The 17,308-nt window shown below is 62.3% G+C and overlaps 3 protein-coding genes across 18 annotated transcripts, besides 8 other annotated features; 1 reads left to right on the forward strand and 2 right to left on the reverse strand.

Moving 5' to 3' along the window:
* Positions 1-6: 6 nt before the first annotated feature.
* On the reverse strand, positions 7-10,448 carry PCYT2 (phosphate cytidylyltransferase 2, ethanolamine). Of its 11 annotated transcripts, none has more exons than NM_001256434.3 (14): positions 10,316-10,448; positions 8,563-8,651; positions 7,925-8,084; positions 7,617-7,683; positions 6,822-6,906; positions 6,603-6,647; positions 6,253-6,306; positions 5,809-5,947; positions 5,513-5,595; positions 5,149-5,226; positions 4,719-4,784; positions 4,431-4,496; positions 4,115-4,203; positions 7-3,993 (listed from the first exon to the last, which is right to left on the reverse strand). In NM_001256434.3, the coding sequence occupies exons 2-14, from the start codon at positions 8,563-8,565 to the stop codon at positions 3,882-3,884; spliced, it is 1,047 nt and encodes a 348-aa protein (NP_001243363.1). In that variant the 5' UTR covers positions 8,566-8,651; positions 10,316-10,448; the 3' UTR covers positions 7-3,881. The 11 variants fall into 11 exon arrangements, with proteins under 11 accessions (NP_001243363.1, NP_001171846.1, XP_005256444.1 ...); NM_001184917.3 differs by having other exon boundaries at positions 7,925-8,086; XM_005256387.4 differs by lacking the exon at positions 10,316-10,448 and adding an exon at positions 9,954-10,224 and having other exon boundaries at positions 7,925-8,086.
* Positions 945-994: a silencer, noted in NCBI's record as "silent region_9162". NCBI's record gives its function as "represses an Ori minimal core promoter by ATAC-STARR-seq in GM12878 lymphoblastoid cells {active_cell/tissue: GM12878}" and the evidence as "EXISTENCE:reporter gene assay evidence [ECO:0000049][PMID:35858748]".
* Positions 1,215-1,314: a silencer, noted in NCBI's record as "silent region_9163". NCBI's record gives its function as "represses an Ori minimal core promoter by ATAC-STARR-seq in GM12878 lymphoblastoid cells {active_cell/tissue: GM12878}" and the evidence as "EXISTENCE:reporter gene assay evidence [ECO:0000049][PMID:35858748]".
* On the forward strand, positions 1,287-1,954 carry NPB (neuropeptide B). The gene is made up of 2 exons (NM_148896.5): positions 1,287-1,575; positions 1,669-1,954. The coding sequence occupies exons 1-2, from the start codon at positions 1,327-1,329 to the stop codon at positions 1,795-1,797; spliced, it is 378 nt and encodes a 125-aa protein (NP_683694.1). The 5' UTR covers positions 1,287-1,326; the 3' UTR covers positions 1,798-1,954.
* Positions 1,405-1,764: a silencer, noted in NCBI's record as "silent region_9164". NCBI's record gives its function as "represses an Ori minimal core promoter by ATAC-STARR-seq in GM12878 lymphoblastoid cells {active_cell/tissue: GM12878}" and the evidence as "EXISTENCE:reporter gene assay evidence [ECO:0000049][PMID:35858748]".
* Positions 10,012-10,151: a silencer, noted in NCBI's record as "silent region_9165". NCBI's record gives its function as "represses an Ori minimal core promoter by ATAC-STARR-seq in GM12878 lymphoblastoid cells {active_cell/tissue: GM12878}" and the evidence as "EXISTENCE:reporter gene assay evidence [ECO:0000049][PMID:35858748]".
* Positions 10,312-10,601: a silencer, noted in NCBI's record as "silent region_9166". NCBI's record gives its function as "represses an Ori minimal core promoter by ATAC-STARR-seq in GM12878 lymphoblastoid cells {active_cell/tissue: GM12878}" and the evidence as "EXISTENCE:reporter gene assay evidence [ECO:0000049][PMID:35858748]".
* Positions 10,632-10,801: a silencer, noted in NCBI's record as "silent region_9167". NCBI's record gives its function as "represses an Ori minimal core promoter by ATAC-STARR-seq in GM12878 lymphoblastoid cells {active_cell/tissue: GM12878}" and the evidence as "EXISTENCE:reporter gene assay evidence [ECO:0000049][PMID:35858748]".
* On the reverse strand, positions 10,988-17,225 carry SIRT7 (sirtuin 7). 6 transcript variants are annotated; one of them, NM_016538.3, is made up of 10 exons: positions 17,088-17,225; positions 16,879-17,016; positions 16,664-16,768; positions 14,660-14,730; positions 14,489-14,561; positions 13,653-13,751; positions 13,343-13,579; positions 13,136-13,216; positions 12,823-12,929; positions 10,988-11,663 (listed from the first exon to the last, which is right to left on the reverse strand). In NM_016538.3, exons 1-10 carry the CDS (start codon positions 17,178-17,180, stop codon positions 11,465-11,467), a joined length of 1,203 nt encoding a protein of 400 aa, NP_057622.1. In that variant the 5' UTR covers positions 17,181-17,225; the 3' UTR covers positions 10,988-11,464. The 6 variants fall into 6 exon arrangements, with proteins under 6 accessions (NP_057622.1, XP_011521882.1, XP_047292185.1 ...); XM_011523580.2 differs by lacking the exon at positions 16,664-16,768; XM_047436231.1 differs by lacking the exon at positions 10,988-11,663 and having other exon boundaries at positions 12,891-12,929; positions 13,343-13,505.
* Positions 16,410-17,306: an enhancer, noted in NCBI's record as "H3K27ac-H3K4me1 hESC enhancer chr17:79875237-79876133 (GRCh37/hg19 assembly coordinates)". NCBI's record gives its function as "activates a minimal SCP1, AML or CMV promoter by ChIP-STARR-seq in naive H9 embryonic stem cells {active_cell/tissue: H9 hESC(naive)}" and the evidence as "EXISTENCE:reporter gene assay evidence [ECO:0000049][PMID:30033119]".
* Positions 16,825-17,294: a silencer, noted in NCBI's record as "silent region_9168". NCBI's record gives its function as "represses an Ori minimal core promoter by ATAC-STARR-seq in GM12878 lymphoblastoid cells {active_cell/tissue: GM12878}" and the evidence as "EXISTENCE:reporter gene assay evidence [ECO:0000049][PMID:35858748]".

The raw sequence follows: 17,308 nt of genomic DNA on the forward strand, positions 1-17,308 counted from the left end.
TCTATATGAAGAGTATATATGAAGAGTTTATTGGGAGTATTGACTCACGTGATCACAAGGTGAAGTCCCACAATAAGCCATGTGCAAGGTGAGGAGCAAGGAAGCCAGTCTGAGTCCCAAAACAAAAGTAGAGAAGCCGATAGTGCAGCCTTCATCCTGTGGCCAAAGGCTGCAGAGCCCCTGGCAAGCCACTGGTGTAGGTCCGAGAGTCCAAAAGCTGAAGAACCTGGAGGCCGACGTGCGAGGGCGGGAAGCATCCAGCATGGGAGAAAGATGGAGGCCAGATTCAGCCAGTCTAGTCTTTCCACGTTCCTCTGCCTGCTTGTATCCTGGCTGTGCTGGCAGCCGATTAGGTGGTGCCCACCTGGATTGAGGGTGGGTCTGCCTCTCCCAGCCCACTGACTCAAATGGGAATCTCCTCTGGCAACACCCTCACAGACACACCCAGTGACAATACTTTGCATCCTTCAATCCAGTCAAGCTGACACTCAGCATTCACCATCACACCTGGGAAGCATGGAACCCAGAAACAAGTGCCAGGGCTCCAGTGCCAGTGCCTGTCCTGGGAAGATACCCAAGAGAAGACATGACCAGGACCTTGGGGGAGCATGAAATGGTGAGGGCACAGTGAGCTTGAAGGCTGATGTCACCTGCCAGGAGAGCGGCTGGCAGTCCTGCCTGGTGCCCCCCAAGGGGCAGAGCTGGCAGAGAGGGGCCTCCAATCGAAGGCCAGGAGTCGTGGAGCTCCAGTGCCTTGGTGTGGCTGGCCTTCTTGCCCCCCTCCCAGAGGACCCCGCCAGTAACAGCCCTGCTGGTGGAACCTTCCCCAGTGGGCATGAAAGAAATGAGGGCCCCACAAGCCACATGGACTCTGATGCCTGGAGCCAAGAATACCCCTTAGGGTGGTAGAAACCGCCCCCGGGGCACTGTGCAGTGTGGCTGGCTCTCCAGCATCAGGAGTACTGGGGATTGCCTGGGGGACGACTCCTAGGGCTGGGCGCCCGTGGGCCCTCCCCTGCTGCCACTGCGGCCCACGCAAGCCGGGCCTGAAGGGCGCGAGCGGCATGGGTGGGGAGCTTGAGGGGGCGTTGGGCTCCCACCAAGCGCCAGATCCTTGCGCGCCTCCAGCGCTCGCCCGCGCGGCTGGTTCCTTTGGGATGCGGAGGTGCGACGGCTCCTCCGCGCGCGCCCGCTGCACCCCAGCCCGCCCGCCGCCCCTCCCGGCCCTCCGCAGCCTCGGCCCGCCCTCGCCGCAGATATAAGGCGGCCCAGGCGGTGGCTGCTCCGAGCCCGGACGCCGCCGCCCACCAGTCAGCCGGCGTCCCCATGGCCCGGTCCGCGACACTGGCGGCCGCCGCCCTGGCGCTGTGCCTGCTGCTGGCGCCGCCTGGCCTCGCGTGGTACAAGCCAGCGGCGGGGCACAGCTCCTACTCGGTGGGCCGCGCCGCGGGGCTGCTGTCCGGCCTCCGCAGGTCCCCGTACGCGCGGCGCTCCCAGCCCTACAGAGGGGCGGAACCCCCGGGCGGGGCCGGCGCCTCCCCGGAGCTGCAACTGCACCCCAGGCTGCGGAGCCTCGTGAGTCCGGCGTGCCGGGGACTGATGGGGGGCGGCGGCAGGACGTGGGTGGGGGTGCGGCGGCCCCTCAGCCTTTGCTTGCCTGCCCCCCAGGCTGTGTGCGTCCAGGACGTCGCCCCAAACCTGCAGAGGTGCGAGCGGCTCCCCGACGGCCGCGGGACCTACCAGTGCAAGGCGAACGTCTTCCTGTCCCTGCGCGCAGCCGACTGCCTCGCCGCCTGAGCCCGGACCTCTCCTGGCACCGCTGGGGGCCCCCCGCCCCCACCGTCCCACTCGGTGACCCCAGGCCCCTCCGGCGCGGGATGGCGCCCCAGGTCTCCCCTACTCCGCTCACCCCGCAGTTAATGGCAAACGAATAAATAAATGAGGCGGCCTCGGAGTGAGGGGTGCTGGAGGACTGGCAGCCAGGCCACGAGGGGAACGGGACCTGGAAATCCCCAAGCCTGGGTATGAGAAGGCAGCCGAGTGTGCGGCGGCAGGGCAAGGTTGGCCTGGGCCGCCCAGAGGTCTTCAGACCCAGGGGCGAAGCTGGCCACGACCCAGCCCCGCGGTGAAGCCGCGCCTAGCCTTGGTGCTCCCTGGGGGAAGTGCAGGGCCACGGCTGGCCCGGTTCCCAGTGTCCTCCCCCAGCCCTTCGCTCCCCAACTCGAGAGCCAAATCTGTGAGGGCATGGGCTGGAGCCCCTGGCTGCCTTCCTCTTGCCCCCATCCCTTCTGGCCAGGCCAAGTCCGAGGGTGCAGGGGCAAGGAGGAGAGTTGGGGGCCTGAGCCCTGGCTCCAGAGGCCCAGAGCATGCCTCCCCAGAGCTGAAGGTGGGAGATGGGTAGGTTCTCCCTCCGCCGTTGGGTGTGACTCCGGAACTGGCTTGGGCTCTGGCCTCCAATGCTGCTACGGGGCCAGGCCCACCTCCGGGCCCAGGCAGCAGCACTGCAGGGCCTTTCTACCCTCCCCAAGCCTGGGGCCCAGGCAGCCCCTGTCCAGCACCAATCTGTCTATGGGGAACTGGCTGGTCCCTCTGCTCAGGGGACCCCGCAGTCCAGGGTTCTGAGTGGGAGCATTGGCACCACCCCACTCCTGAAAGCGGGGGCCTGGCAGGATGAGGATGGCCTGTGCCCCCCACACCTTGGCCCCTGGCTCGGAGAGCAGGGTGACAGGCTGCCTTCCTGGGCTGTGGAGAGCCTCGCGTGCACCTCGCCTCCAGCTCCTGTGCTGGGTCGTGAGGTCGACCTCACAACAGCAGAGGACAGGCCCATGGGGTGCCACATGGGCCAGGTGCTGTAGGGCAGAGGCCATTCTGGAGAGGAATGTGGGGCTGAAAAAAGTACTGATCATAAGCCTCATTTTGAATGCGGCGAGACCAGGCAATCTATGGCCTCCCTAGACACCTCCCGGAGGCTGCAGTAAGAACCTCTTCGGCCTCTGGGCTGCTCCAGGCGGGCCGTGACAGGGGTGTGGGAGACAGAGATCCCATGGCCCCTGGAGGGGCCAAGGGGCAAGGAGCCTCAGCTCTGGCTCTCCTCCTTATTCTAGCATCGCCTGCTACAGGGGGTGGCCCCAGGCTTTGGAGGGCTGGAGGCCTGGGTTTCACTCACTGCCAGGCTGCCCGCTGCACTCCCGGCTGCTGGGTGCATGGTGGGGGCAGGGCCAAGAGGGTCTCCTTGCTGAGTGGTTCCCTGGTCCTTCCCAGCAGGGCTGGGAGCCCCGCGCAGCACTGCCACCAGGCTTTATTCGGTTGTACCAAAGAGATTTCCGTCAGCCATGTACAAACAGAACAGAGTCCATAAGGAGAGTGGCGAAGCTGCCGGGAAGGAAGGCAAGCGTGTTTTCCTGGAGCCAGGCGCTGGGTGGCAGGACACCGTGTTGGGGGGTGCCCAGTGGGAGGTGGTGTGGTCTACACCCAGAGAACTAAAGGGGTGACCGCAGTCACTGCTCCCTAAAGCCCTCTGCTCTGCACCTCCCGCCACAGCTGGGTGGGCAGTCAGTGTGGCCTCTGTCCAGGTGGTGGGGGCATCCGGGGACCAGGTGGGGGCGCACGCAGGAGCGGTGCGTTTCAGGCTGCAGGTGCCGTCTGCCCGTCTCACTTCCGGCCTCTCCACTGTGCTGGACACCCTCTCTGAGCAGCTTTGCTGGAAAGAGCGGAGAGCCTGCTGCAAACCAGGCACCTTGTAGGCAGGCAAGGAGGCAGAGTCCTCACCAGCCCTTCCAGAGCCAGGCCAGTTAGAGAGGGCGGCCCTGCAGAGTCCTATGTCCAAACGCAGAAGGCGCAGAAGCAGAGCAGGGGGAGGGCCGGCCAGGGCCTCTGCCAGGTTAGAAGTCACCATCGCGCTCCCCCAGGGGCTGTGCCGCCTGCTGCCTGGCAGCCTCCAGGAAGGCCAGCTCCTTGGCTTCCTTCTTCTGGTTTCGCGCCTCATACTCCAACCTGAGAGGGCAGGGTAAGTCTAGCAGAGAGCGCCCATGAGGCGGCTCCGAGGGGGAGGGCACGGTAAGTCTAGCGGAGAGCGCCCATGAGGCGGCTCCGAGGTGCCCCCACCCAACTGCACCTGTTGGTGATGATCCGCTGGACGATGAGGTCTGTGGTGAGGTTGCTGCCACTGTCAATCTGACGGAAGATGCCCCTTCTCTTGGGCTCCTGGGGGTCCAGAGAGGAGGAGCGGGATGAAGGTCCCTGCTGACCTCCCCAAGACCCATCTGATGCCCTGCCCCAGAGGGAGACCAGCGCCCAGGGTCCCATGGGAGTGGTGCAGTCGGAGCAGCTGCGCCACCATGCCCGTTTCCCAGGCAGGCACAGTGAGTCATTAAATGGCTGGGAGGTGCCAATGGCAACCCCTGTGCCCAGCAAGGGCCAGCATGACCCACCTGGTATGGGTCGGAGCCATCCCTGTCAGGGATAATTTCTGTCTTGCCGTGACACACCAGGTCCACCTGGAGAAGGAGTGGGGTCAGGAGCCCTCCCCGGGGAGGCAGCGGCCGTCGCCACCCACAGCCCAGCACAGGCCCCGGGGGTTGGGAGAGCTGACCCTGCCCTTTCCTCAGCCCAGGTACCTCCTGGGCCCCGCCTAGGAGCCCACAGCCAGCCTGCATTCCCAGCCCATGCAGGAACAGAGGTGAACAGAGGGAACGAGGTGAGCCCATGCGGAGCCTCACCTTGAAGTGACTTAGGAGCTCTGCTGTGACCGCGTACGGGGCTCCAATCACCACTTCTGACACGTACTGTGGGGACAGTGGGGGCAGAAAGACTTGCTCGGTCCCTGCTACTGGTAAGCCAGGGCCACAGGGTGGTGAGAGACGGCTCAGACATGGGGCGGGGCTGCCAGTGAGTAGCAGGGATGGGCTGGGCAGGCTGGGGACCCCTGGGGCTCCTCCATGAGACAAGAAGGAACAGCATCTGGAGACCTGACCACCCCTCCTCATGCCTCAACAAACAGGTATGGGCAGGTGCCACAGAACTCGGGGTGCTGGGTGCAGCTCTGCCAGTGACCCAAGCCCCCCTGCCCTGGCTCAGGGAGGCCCTTAGTAGGGGGGATGTTGTGGGAATGTCTCCCCATCCTTGGGCTGGCTCCTGGCCCCCACTCACCCGGCAGGCCAGCACGCTCAGAGTCCGTTCATGCAGATTCATGATGGGGTAGTTCTTCCCCTTGTAGTGATTGACCTCCTGCGGCCAGAGTGCGGCTAGCTCAGCCCGGAGACTTTTTGGGGGGACAGGGTGTGCCCCTCCCGGCTGTCCCTCATGGGAAGAAGTCGGGGAGGTTGCTCGCCCTTGTGGGGATGCCCCAGACAGGACAGCCCTGGACCCCAGAAGCCTACGATCACCCCCCAGGGTCTCCTGTGACTTCACCTGGGGCCCCTTCCCAGAGACCACCTGCACCTAACAGCAACGCTTAGGGCCCCTCGAGGGCCCATCAGCTGCCCAGGGGCCCAGGGAGCAAGAAGGCAGTGACCTGGTCAAAGTGTAAGCCCGCGATGATGTAGGGCCTCTCTGCCAGCCTGTGCACCTTCTCCAGGAAGTCCACATGCCCGATGTCTGCACCCAGGTTAAGAAGCAGTCGGGATGGGGATGACAGGGAGCAGCTCCCTGACAGCTCATGCCCAAGGGCCTCCCCGCCATCCTCCCTGCTGACAGCTGCTCCCCTGCAAACCAGCCAGCCCAGTCTGGGGGCCCCAAGGAGTCAAGTGAGGCCCCCGGGTCCCACCCCATGTGGCACATGTAGGGGAGCAGCAGAGGCCCAGAGGATACGGAACAGGTCGAAGGCACCAGCCACATAGATGACTGTCTCCCCTGGCTGGGGCTCCTTCCCAGAAGCAAACTGGATGATCTTCTGAGATGTCTGCAGGAACTGGGATACCCCGGTCCAGGGGTTCCGCCCACCAGGGCACTGCAAGCCAAGAGAGGGAGCAGGTTGGCGGGGGAGGCCTCCCAGGTGCTGCCCTCACCAGGTCACCAAACCCTCAGCTGTCACCTGCCAGCAATCCCATTTCCAGCCAGTCATCTCGGGCAGGGGACACACTGCCAGGCCAGGTGGCAGGTGGGACTGTGGCGCCACCCCACAACCACAGCAGGCACCGCAGCAGACACCACTTCAGCCCAGCAAGCGACCACCAGGAGGAGGCAAGGAGCCCTGTGGCAGGTGCACACAGCCCTTGGGAGGGACCTGGTACCCTGAGACCACTGTCTGGTCACCTGGGAGCAGCCTTCTGAGGAAAGTATGTCCCCGGCGGGTATCGGGTGAGGGGGCTACAATGGGAGAGAGGGCCAGGCCACTTGGTTAGAGGCCACCTGTCCACAGGCAAATCCTTGCTCCTCCAAGCAGTGGCTGCCGTGACCGGCCAGCCGGTGCCACCACCCGCCTGCCCTCCCTCCCAGCATCCACCAGTGAGCCAAACCTGGCAGTCAGTGCCTGGTCAGTGCCAGGGACAGAGGGAGGAGGGTGAGGCTCTGGGCTGGCCTTTCCCCAAGGGATGGCTGGGACAGGTGGCCGGGGGAGCCCCCTGCAGCTGCGTGCTCAGCTCTCCCTGCACAGCCGCACTCACCTTGCCAAAACTGTCTGCATACTCCCGGTACTCAGAGGACATCTCCTGCACAGAAGGTCAGAGCAGGGCTGAGGGGCCTGCCCTCCCGGCGTGGCCACCCCAGAACCGGCTGGGGATGGGGAGCAGTGGGCAGGAGGACCCTGAGAGGGCAGGGAGGTGCCCCTCCTTTCCCCTGGAGACCTCGACCCAGGGGCCTCGGGGATTCCGCCGCCGACTCACCTGGCTGCTGTGATGGGCTTTGGTTACCAGCAGCATGCGGCCCACGAGGTCTGTGGTGGACACCCCTTGCGTGCGCTTGCATTCTCTGGGGGACACAGTGGGAGTGGGGTCTCATCCTGGGACACTCGCAAGGCTCTGCCTCCTGCTACCACCACTAGGGACACTAGCAGCCCTGCTGTGGCAGAACCCACGGCTGCCCCAAAGACTGAGGGTCCCCTTCCTGTGCAAGGCCATAACAGAAAACCTGGGTTGGGAACATGGGGAAGGCCTCCACGCTTTTATTGACTGAAGGGAGTGGCAGGAGCACAGAAAAGGACCCTTGCTGGGGCCCAGGTGTGCAATGCCAGGGAGAGGATGGGCACTGGGGTAGCAGCTCTGCTTCCTGCCTCCCTCACACCCACGTCCTGCCCGCTGAGCATCTGCAGCTGAGTGAATTCTCAGCTGCAGCATCTCATGCGGGAGCCACTGGCCTCATGTCCCTGACGTCTGGTAATTCAGATATAGTGCCAGCTCCCCAGCAGTGCCAGCCACGTCCCCCGAGCTCAACAGCTGCCACCTCACAAAGCTGTGCCTTTGGAGCCCTGGGGCCATGGGTCTGCAGCACCAAATGGCAAGGGCCTCCAGGCCACCCCACAATGGCACCTCCATCCCTCGAGTTCCCAGTCCTGGGCGTGAGGAACATGGCCCAGGGCCTGGACGCTCCCCTCACGGGCTCCCGGTAAATAGCAAAGCACGAGCCAGGAGGGAGCCCCGTGTCCAGCTCCCTGGATGGCCAGGCCCGCGGTGGAGACTCACCTGTACCTCCCAGCCTGCTTTACTTCCTCATAGGTGTCCCGGCCATCTACAGTCAGGGTGATGTCATCTAAGCAGTGACACACAAGGACAAGGATCCTTAACCCAAAGCCACCAGAACCTTCAGAGCCCAGGACCCTCTCGGCCCCTGGCCTGCCCTAGTGTCCGCGTGCCCATTTCTAGGTGGGGGCCCGGAAATGTCTCAGATCCTCAAAGGGCGGAGGCCCCCTGTTCCCGGATGTCCCACCAGCAGATCTGATCCTGAGCCACCTGATGTCCCCAGGCCCCCAGGTCCCAGCCCCGCCACTCACTGCCGTGAACACAGAAGTCACAGTTGTATTTGTCCAGGGTCTCTAGTGTAGTGACGTAGGGAGCCGCTGGCACCACCTCGTCCACCCATTTGATGGCCTGCACCATCTTGTATCTCTCCTCCTGAGTGAACACCGGGGGCCCCTTGTGCTTGGCGATCTCCTCTAGGAAAAGGACAACGGGGAGACTGGGGACCCCAGCCCACCCGGCCCCTCCAGTAGGAGGCCCCTTCCCAGCACCCAGCTGTAGCCACACAAGAGGGCCGGTGGGGGCAGGCTGTCTCTCTACCCTGGCCCTTAGCCCACTAGTGCTGGCCAACTGGGTGGCTCTCTTCCCTGCGAGGGTCTCAGGCAAAGGCAGAGATTCCTTCTGACGAGCAGGTGCTCAGCCCCTGAAGGCTTGGGAGCCTCGCTGGCAGTGGTGGGGAGCAGGTGCCCCTTCTCTTTAGCTGGGACAGGAAATGCAAGATGGGAAAGGCATTAGGCCATCCTCAGCTGGGGCTGGGCTGGGTGAGCCTACAGTGCCCTCCCCTACAGCTGTGCCCTGGCAAGGTGGCCCCAGGCCTGCAGGCTTTCAGTCAACAGTCGCAACCCACAGGAGGGCTGGGGGGCCGCGGGTGGGCGAGGCCATCTGTGCTTACCATCGGTGTGCACGCCTACGATGAGGTAGTCACCCATGGCCCGTGCCTGGCGCAGCTGGTTGGAGTGGCCGTAATGCACCATGTCATAGCTGTGGAGACAGAGAGAGTGGGTGGTCCCTGTGCCAAGGGTGGGGACCAGGTGTCCCTGTGGGTTAGGGGCAGAGCTTTGCTCCTCTGAGGACTCCTTAGGAAGCGCTCTGAGAAGCTGCTGCTGGGAGCCCTGGGACTGGGATTCGGAGGATGTAGGTGCTCAGCTCTCCACCCCACTGGCTCCTGGGCCTGACGGTGGGACCCCTGTGCCAGATCTAGAAAGGGTGGCAGGGGCAGAGATGTCAAGGCCTGGCTGGGTCTAGAGGACTGGTGGGTGCAGGACAGACTGGAGCCCACTGAAAGCTGCAGGGCCACGTGTCCTATCCCCTCACCAAATATCAACTGCCCTGGGCAGTCACTTTAAAATAAGCCGATGTTAACTCTTGGGGTAGGGTTGGATCCTAGACTACCTTGAGACAAGCAAACAGTCCCTGGGGCTAACCCAAAACAAATCCAACCACAAAATAAAACCCTGGGAATCACTGGCCCTGAAAATCCTGTCTCTCCTCCCTTACGGCCTCAAGCTCAGCAGGCTTAACGCTAAGGGTGAACAGCCACTGCCTTGCCACCTGGCTCGAGAGTTTTCATTCACAAATCTAGGTCTGCTAACACGTGAACTCTCAAGCCCAAAGCTACACAGCCCTGCCACCAACTGGGCCTCGCTGCCCTGGCTTCTTCGCCACTTCTTTACAGCAGCGGCCCATCCCCTCAAGTGGACAAAGCTGTCCCTGCCTCTCCAGGGAGAGGTGTGACCCTGGCAGCCCACACAGTGCACAGAGTTGCTCCACTGCACACCACTGCTTCCTCCCAGCACCCCTGCCACAGTGCGCGGAGCCCGGCAGACATGCTGGGTAAAATCTGGCGGGCCCATGTACCCACTGGACAGGCTGGAGGGGAGGAGGGGGCAGAGGCTGGGCCAGGGGAGCACAGTCTGGAATGGGGCTGGGGCCTGGTCAGGGCAAGGTCAAAGTCCACTGACACAAAGCCACATTCCTTTTCCCAGAGGTGACTCGGACACAGAAGACAAGGCCCTGCTTGCTCTCCTGGGAAGGGCTAATCAGATAGAGGCGCTTGCTTCCTGGATTCCATCCGGCAGGCACGTGAAAGGGTCAGAGGTAGCAAATTATCAGTAACGGTCGTCTTCCTTTCACTTGTTGACAACCCGAAACTTTTCTTAAAACAATGCCCTCTGACTGGCCAGGGAAGACCGATCGCATTCTAGCCCCGCGGAGGAGGACCCGGGAGCCCGCGGGCTTCACCGCGGGTCCCGGACAGGCAGGTCGCACCCGATGCCCACCTACAGGGACGCTCGCCCGGAGGCCAGGGGAACCCCTGGACCGGAGCCGGGCAAGCTGGTTGCTGGTGGTTACGGAGAAGCAGGGAGGCCGTGGCTCCAGATCTCAGCGCGGTGGCTGCACCGGAGAGGTCGGCGTGACCGGGCGGGGCCTCCGCCAGAGGTAGACGGGGTCGCCCACGGCAGGGCGCGGAGCCTCTGCAGCCCGACCCTCCCGGCAGGCGAGCCCCGCAGCCTGCCAGCCCCGGCCCATGCCGGACGAGGACGCCACCCAGAACGCGGGCCCGGTCCCCGGGCAACGGCTGGCGCGGCGCCCCGGAAGGAAGCCGGCCCCGGCGCCCCCGCGGCCCGCCCCGGCCCCGCGCTCACCAGCCATCGCACCACACCCTCACGGCGCGCCTGCCCCCCGGGCCCGGCTGCTCTGCGCCGCCTGCAGCCCCGCGCCCGTTCCGGATCATGGCCCCGCAGCGGCGGCGCGGACAGCCTGGCAGCTCCCGGCGACTCCGAGCGCCGCCGCCCGCCCCGCCAGGCGCACGCTCAGCGGCCGTCACGCGGGCCTCACCCGCTGCGCACGGCCAATGGCGTGCGCCGCTCGGCCCGAGCCCCGCCCCCGCCTCCCCCGCCCCGCCTCCCGCCCTCCGCCCCGAGCCCCACCCCCCGAAGGCCGCGCCCCACCGCACCTCCGCGCACGGCCAATGGCGTGAGCCCCTGACAGAGTCCCGCCCCCTCCAAACGCACAGCCAATGGCGTGTGCCGCGCTTTCCGAGCCCCGCCCCCCGACCCACACCTGGCCTCTCCGCACCGCCCACACCTGGCGCTCGGCTGGCGGGGCAGTGCGGCGTGGGGACCGTCCCACCGCCGCCACCTCCGGGAACCTCCACGGGGCGCTGTCCCAACCAGGGGAGTTTTTTTTCTTATTTTTTGGCACAATAATCTACAGTTGTCCCCTGTCCAACCAAGGGAGTTTTAAGCCACGACCGAGCTGCCAGGCGGCAGACCTGAGCCCGGGGAGCCCGCGCCGACCACTCGGGGACACCGGAAGCCAGTGCAGAAACGTTTAATAGAAATAAAAAGGTCTGCATAGAGCCGAGGCTCGGAGCCACCCCTCTGCCGCACATCCAGTACAGAGAGGATTCTATAAAGTTCACACTTTTTCATTAAGTAGTAGTAGAAATACGGTGAGGCCCTGAGACTGGCCTGGTGAGCGAGGAAAGGCCGCTGGGCGCTTCCACTCTGCAGGCCGGGGCTGAAATAACCCGAGTTCCGTTCTCACAGAAAGGTGCGGCTGCCACCTCTTGACACAGAGGCCGGATGGGCAGGTGTCCTCGATGGCCAGGCCGTATCAGGGTACAACCGCAGCAGTGCAAGGGGCTTCCTCAAGGACAAATGGCTAAAAATGTCACGGTGAAAATGTCATCCCCAAAGAGTTCGTTCTCCCTAGACCCGTGGGGGCAACCCAGCCTTCACCGTGACACTGGCCATCTGCAAAGTGCCAACTGTTCTTCATCGAGCACGTGATTACGTCACTTTCTTCCTTTTTGTGCGTTTTGTGCAGCCCCTGCCAAACCAGCCCCCTAGGATGGGGGCCGAGCTAAGCGGTGCACCCCGGTCCCCAGGCGGGGCCTCCTCTCTGCTTCTGCACAGCGACTTCCGACTGTGGCTGCCTTCTTCACCAGCACGCAGGGGAGTCGCCAGTGAGAAAATGGGATCCTGCCACCTGCCAAAAAGGGAAAGCGGCATCAGGCGGGCCTGGGAGCCTCTCGCAGTCACACCTGCCCCAGCTCGGGAAAGCTGTCTGCGGTCCCTGCCTTCCCATCCCCTTCCCTCCCGTGTCAACTGCGGCGGGGCTCTGGTTGGCGGCAGCTTCATTGTTACCAAGCTGCAGAACGGATGTGGGAGAGGTCACCTCTTAGGTGGTGACTCAAAGGTCGGCACCCACACTAGCTCGGTCTCCTCAAAACTCCGTGTCCTTGTCCACCACTGAGCGGCGTGCACACACAGGGTGGGGCAGCAGTGGCCCCAGGGCTGCCTCCGTCTCCAGGGATGAGTCACTAGCAACTCTGGGCCCCACCTTCCACTTGTACCGCTGGGGCAGGTGGACCAGACCCTCTCCCCCTTCCCAGCTGACTAGGGAGGCGTGGCCTACAGACGACCCCGTGAAGAAAGCATGTGTCTGACGGAGATGCAGAACCACAGATCATAACTTAAGATACAGATACGCACTGATAAGGAAAATGAGCTAAGTTAATGTAAAAAAAAAATACAGTACACGATAGCCCACATCACAGAACACCACACACATAACATACAAGAAGTGCCAGGCCCAGAAGGTGAAGGGATCCTTAATTTCTTGAACCCTTTGATTAAAAGAAGTTATTGATTTCCCCTATAAGACCCTGAAAATTCACAGAGAAAGAGAGTGTAAACTTTTTACTCAATACATACACCAAGTCTAAATTATCACAAATTCTGTATTAAGGCACAGTTTGTTTAAGCTTTCCCAAAGTACGCCAACTCCCAAAACCAAGCACACAGATTCTGTCTGACCAGAGCTGCCGAGTGCTCGTCCCCTCCAGATGCTTCCCACCAGGCATCTCGGAGAGCTCCACGGGGAGGCCTGGAGCAGGAGCACGCGGGCAGAATCCCTCTCCCCGCGGGGATTGTGTGTGCCACATCAGCCAGGGCAGGAGTGGCACACGCAGGGTCTCCGCCAACCACCGAGGTCAGGCCCTCTGGAGACCACCACGCTTCAGTCATGCCTCAGGCACCACTGCAAACACCTCAGAGCTTCCTCCACACTCAGCTCACGAGAGAAGACAGACAAGGCCCAGCACACAGAGGTGCGGGGAAGCAGGCTGCTGCAGCGGCTCACTCACCTGCTATAGGCGGGGATCTCCAAGCCCAGCTCGGCCATGAGGAGCCGCATGACGTCATCACACTTCCCATGTAGCTTCAGGGCAGCCCAGTCATCCTTCGGGGTCCACTGAGGACAGGGAAAGCCGAGTGAGAGTAACAGCAGCCCAACCCTTCCCGGTGGCCTGTCAGCCTTGGCCCCTACGGGCTCAGTCGGTGCTCCCTGAGCACCCACGGGGGCCCTATCAGACCGCCCTGGTGCATGGGTGTGGGGTGTCTCTGGCTGTGCGTTCTAAGACCCAGATCTAAGGACGTGGCTCTCAGCACCCGAGTTACCTGCAGGTTCACGATGTAAAGCTTCGGCCGCCGGCTAGGGGGCTTGGTCATGCACCAGAGGCGTGGGTACTTCTTTAGAACCTGTGGAAGCAGACAGACAGACACCGCACACACACAAGGGACAAGTCTGTACAGTGCTGGGCCGCAGAGCTGGACACCCTCGGGCGGGCAGGGGCTCGGTTCACTCATTGTGTCATCGGCACGTACCTTCAGGCTGGACCCTAGACACAGGATGGTGTCTGCTCTGCTGGCAGCCTCGGTCGCCGCTTCCCAGTTCAAAGGCTGCCCCAACGTCCCCCTCTCCCCAAAGTGCACAATGGTGTCCCGCAGCTGGGTCCCACACTTGTGGCAGGTCCGGCCTGTCTGGTGTCTGTGGAGGGCAGTGCGCTCCGTCACATCGAACACCCGCACGTACTCCCTGTTGGGAACGCAGGAGGTACAGACCTAGAGGCAAGAGGGCACAGTGAGTGGGACCCGCCTGCCCATGGAGACCCTGGGTCCCTGCAGGACTGCTCACTTCAATGTACATGTTCCCGTGGAGCTCGGAGATGGCCGTGCGCGGCAGCCCACTCCTCAGGTGGAGCCCGTCACAGTTCTGAGACACCACATGCTGCACCTGGAAGGCAGAACGGGTGGCAAGGGGAGGGATGGCTGCCAGTGGTGGTGGGGAGGTCAGTACCCGGCCACAGCGAGGCTGTTCTGAGCCCCGCCGATGGCTCCCAAAACCAGGGGCAGCTCCGTCCCCCCAGAGAGCCTTAGAAAGTAAAACACACAACAGGTCCAACCACCAGGAGTCAAGAGGGCCTGTGGTGGGGAGGGGCTGTCCTTCCTCCAGCCCTGATGCACCTGGAGTGGCTGGGAGGGCAAGAGGTTGCACCGTCCCGGCAAGGTTGGGAAGTGGCTCGGGGTTTGGCAAGGGCCACTCTGCCCCAGATCCATGCTCTCTTGGGTCATGACATTTCAGGTCCCTGGGGACCTAGGCAGATCAACCACTACACCCCATTGGTTGAGGGTGTTCAGCAGAAGGTCCCCAGAGATGTCCTATAAGCCTCCCCTGTGACTAGGATGGCTTCTGAGGTCCACAGAAAAATGCAAGGGAATCACAAAGGGGAAAGGCCACCAGCAGCTCTGAGGCTGAGGCTGGCTGCGGATGGGATGGTTCAGAGGGGGAGCTCCCCTTCTGTCCTGGAGAGTCAAGCACAGGAGGATCAAACCCGCGGCCTAACCCGCTTGGTGGGTGCTCATCATGGGAGTCAACTGGCAGACAGAGGGCGGGTGCAGTTAGTTGCCCACTGGGCACCAAGGTGCTCTGCCTGGTCCCTGGCAAGTGTACCAGCCACCCAGGGCTCTTACCAGCTTCTGCTCATGCAGACGGGTGATGCTCATGTGGGTGAGGGTTGGCTCGGCCTCGCTCAGGTCGGCAGCACTGCCAGGCAGAAAGGAAGGCAAGGTGAGGAGAGCTGGAGCTCAGGCCCGTGCTGCCGCTGCCCAGCCTATGTGGGAGGCCATGCCTGGCCCGCTTACCTAACGCTTCTCCCTTTCTGAAGCAGTGTCCACACTCCATTAGGGCCCCGGTAGTCTGGGATAGACGCTGCCTGCATGTCGAGAAAAAAGGTAAGCCAAGTCAAAAGGCACCACTGTAGGTACTGGCAGAATTCCCAGAAACGGAAAGCCACTGTCACTCCTGCCGCATTCCGGGCTGGCCTGCATGTTGGCCTCTATTCATTCCACAGGCTGACCTGCCTGAGCCCATATGGAGTGTACCCCAATTCGGCTCCTCCCTTCTACCTGGACTTCCGTTTCCCGCCTGGCCTGGCTCATCCTTCCAGGCTGCACGCAGCCCTGCCTGCCTCCGGAAGCCTCTCTGGCACCGAGCACAAAGCTGGGCTCTGTGGCACATGTGTCCTCCACACTGCAGGGGAAGACTAGTCATGTTCCTAAAGTGCCCCCAGGGCCGAGCCCACAGCTCACACATTTAGCAAATGGTGAATCCCTAGGTGGGTCCAGGCGACTGTCCATTCTCATGTCCCAGTGCTGACTATTCCCGCTCCACCTTAACAAAGGCAGAACAACTTCTTCAGATGAGATGAGCATCTAACTTCCCAGGTTTTCAATCCTGTGAAACAAACTGAGGCCCACAGAGGGCACACAAGATATGCCAGGATCAAGGTGTCTTGTGTTCCCTTTTGGGGACTCCCGACTCCTGCTTAAACTCAGAAAAATGCACCACCCCCCCGGACAGTAGTTCCGACAGTCACATTCAAGACGGGAACCTCAAACACTCCGATGAAATCCACTAGCTGCATGTGCTTTTAGTTGCCATTGGAAGTTCCATAACAGGTCACGTGACTGTTACATAATTACATGACTGGACTTTTTTTTTTTTTTTTTTTTTTGAGAGACGGAGTTTAGCTCTTTCGCCCAGGCTGGAATGCAGTGGCATGATCTCGGCTCACTGCAACCTCCGCCTTCCAGTTTCAAGTGATTCTCCTGCCTCAGCCTCTCGAGTAGCTGGGATTGCAGGTGCCCGCCACCATGCCCGACTAATTTTTGTATTTTTAGTAGAGACAGGGTTTCACCGTGTTGGCCAGGTTGTTCTTGAACTACTGACCTCATGATCCGCCCACCTCGGCCTCCCAAAGTGCTAGGATTATAGGCATGAGCCACCGCGCCCAGCATGACTGGACTTTTACATGTGACTTGTGGAGGGAGGAGACTAAACCCCAGGGCTCCGGGTATTTGAGTCAGTAGTGAACTCCCTTTTTGCATTCTTGCTGCTGAGCCTCTGCTGTTCTTTGCTTGGAGTGCCTCATTCCAACCTTCTGTAAATCTCACCCATCCTTCAAGGCCCAATCAAGGCCACCTCCCACAAAAAGCCAACGCAGGTGGGTTTCCCAACTCCAAGAGCGCAGAGTGTGTGTCTGAGTTTGCTCTAGCGACCCAGCACAGCCAGCTTTACAGTATGGTTATTTGTTCACATGCCTGATCCTTGTCACCTAAAAGCTTCCTGAGAACAGAAATCACCTGGGTTCAGATCTGCTAGGCCGACGCGTGCCCAACACCCCACACACACCCATCAAATTAGATGGACGAGGTGCCAGCTACACTTTCAAAGCTAGTGATGTCCCACAGCCCAGGATAACTTGTCAGTGAAACTTCTCAAAACACAATGCAATTCTCTCCTTCACCTGGTGTATTCTGGCTCTTACTGTGTCACTTTCTACTTATCTTCCCTCGACATGGACAGAACAGAGTGGAAAATCACAACTTTGGGCTTAGCTCTGTCCACATAACCTGGGGGTGCCTGCGAGCAGTCGGCTACTACACCCCATTCGTATCTCTACTCCTTGTTTTTTTTAACTGGCTGTAACACAGAGGCCAAGCGTTTAAAAAGCGTTTACCTTAGGTAAGTTTTGGTCATTTCGTTTCTTTAAGAGAAAAAACCTTAGAGCTGCTTTAAAGGCGAGTTTTTCGCGATTACTGGAGCTCATACTCCGTCCTGGGGTACGCCTCCGCCTCCCTCCCTACCGTGCTGATTCCCGCGCCTGTGTAGACGACCAAGTATTTGGCGTTCCGGACGGCGCTGGCCAGCTCCCGGACCTTCCCCCGCAGCTCCTCCGGGTCGTCGCACACCTGCCAAGACGCCAGGGTGGTCACCGCCCCGGGCCGCCCCACCCGGGACCGCCCGTCGCCCCAGCTGCTCCCGAAACCGGGGGCGCCCGCGCGCCGCACGCGGAACTCGCCTCCTCCTGCCGCCGCTTCAGGCCCTCGCGCCGCCGGCTCCGGCCCTGCAGCTCCGTTACCAGGTCCGCGCTCTCGGCCAGCAGCCGGCCCTCCTCGGCGCTGCGCTCCGCCGCCGCCTTCCTCAGGATGCGCGACACCTGCGGGCAGGCGGACGGTGAGCGGCGGCGCGGGCCGGGCATGGCCGGGCCGGGGAGCGGCGGCGGCGTACCTGGCGGAGGCGCTCCCTCTGCTGCTCCTCCCGCAACCTCCGGACCCGCTCCGCCGCTTTGCGCTCGGAGCGGCTCAGACCCCCGGCTGCCATCGCTCCCCTGGAGACCTGCTCTTCCGCTTCCGCCTCACACGGCAGGCCGCGCTCAGGGCGCATGCGCAAGATGGGCCCCGCCCCCACCCACCCCTTCCGGCTCCGCCCGCCGCGTCGCCCCAAAGAAG

Source organism: Homo sapiens, chromosome 17, assembly GCF_000001405.40.
Source record: "Homo sapiens chromosome 17, GRCh38.p14 Primary Assembly".
NCBI lineage: Eukaryota > Metazoa > Chordata > Mammalia > Primates > Hominidae > Homo > Homo sapiens.

What these genes read in the sequence shown, in the direction of transcription:
- NPB (NM_148896.5), top strand. Translation starts at nt 1,327, where the DNA reads ATGGCCCGGTCCGCGACACTGGCGGCCGCCGCCCTGGCGCTGTGCCTG. An exon ending in ACCCCAGGCTGCGGAGCCTC is followed by an intron (nt 1,576 to 1,668) that starts GTGAGTCCGGCG and finishes CCTGCCCCCCAG; the next exon opens with GCTGTGTGCGTCCAGGACGT.
- PCYT2 (NM_001184917.3), bottom strand. Translation starts at nt 10,404, where the DNA reads ATGATCCGGAACGGGCGCGGGGCTGCAGGCGGCGCAGAGCAGCCGGGC. An exon ending in CCTCAGAAGGCTGCTCCCAG is followed by an intron (nt 5,948 to 6,252) that starts GTGACCAGACAG and finishes CTTGGCTTGCAG; the next exon opens with TGCCCTGGTGGGCGGAACCC. An exon ending in CGGGCTTACACTTTGACCAG is followed by an intron (nt 5,227 to 5,512) that starts GTCACTGCCTTC and finishes CTCTGGCCGCAG; the next exon opens with GAGGTCAATCACTACAAGGG.
- SIRT7 (NM_016538.3), bottom strand. Translation starts at nt 17,180, where the DNA reads ATGGCAGCCGGGGGTCTGAGCCGCTCCGAGCGCAAAGCGGCGGAGCGG. An exon ending in TGAAGCGGCGGCAGGAGGAG is followed by an intron (nt 16,769 to 16,878) that starts GCGAGTTCCGCG and finishes GCGTCTTGGCAG; the next exon opens with GTGTGCGACGACCCGGAGGA. An exon ending in GTCTGCATGAGCAGAAGCTG is followed by an intron (nt 13,752 to 14,488) that starts GTAAGAGCCCTG and finishes TCTGCCTTCCAG; the next exon opens with GTGCAGCATGTGGTGTCTCA.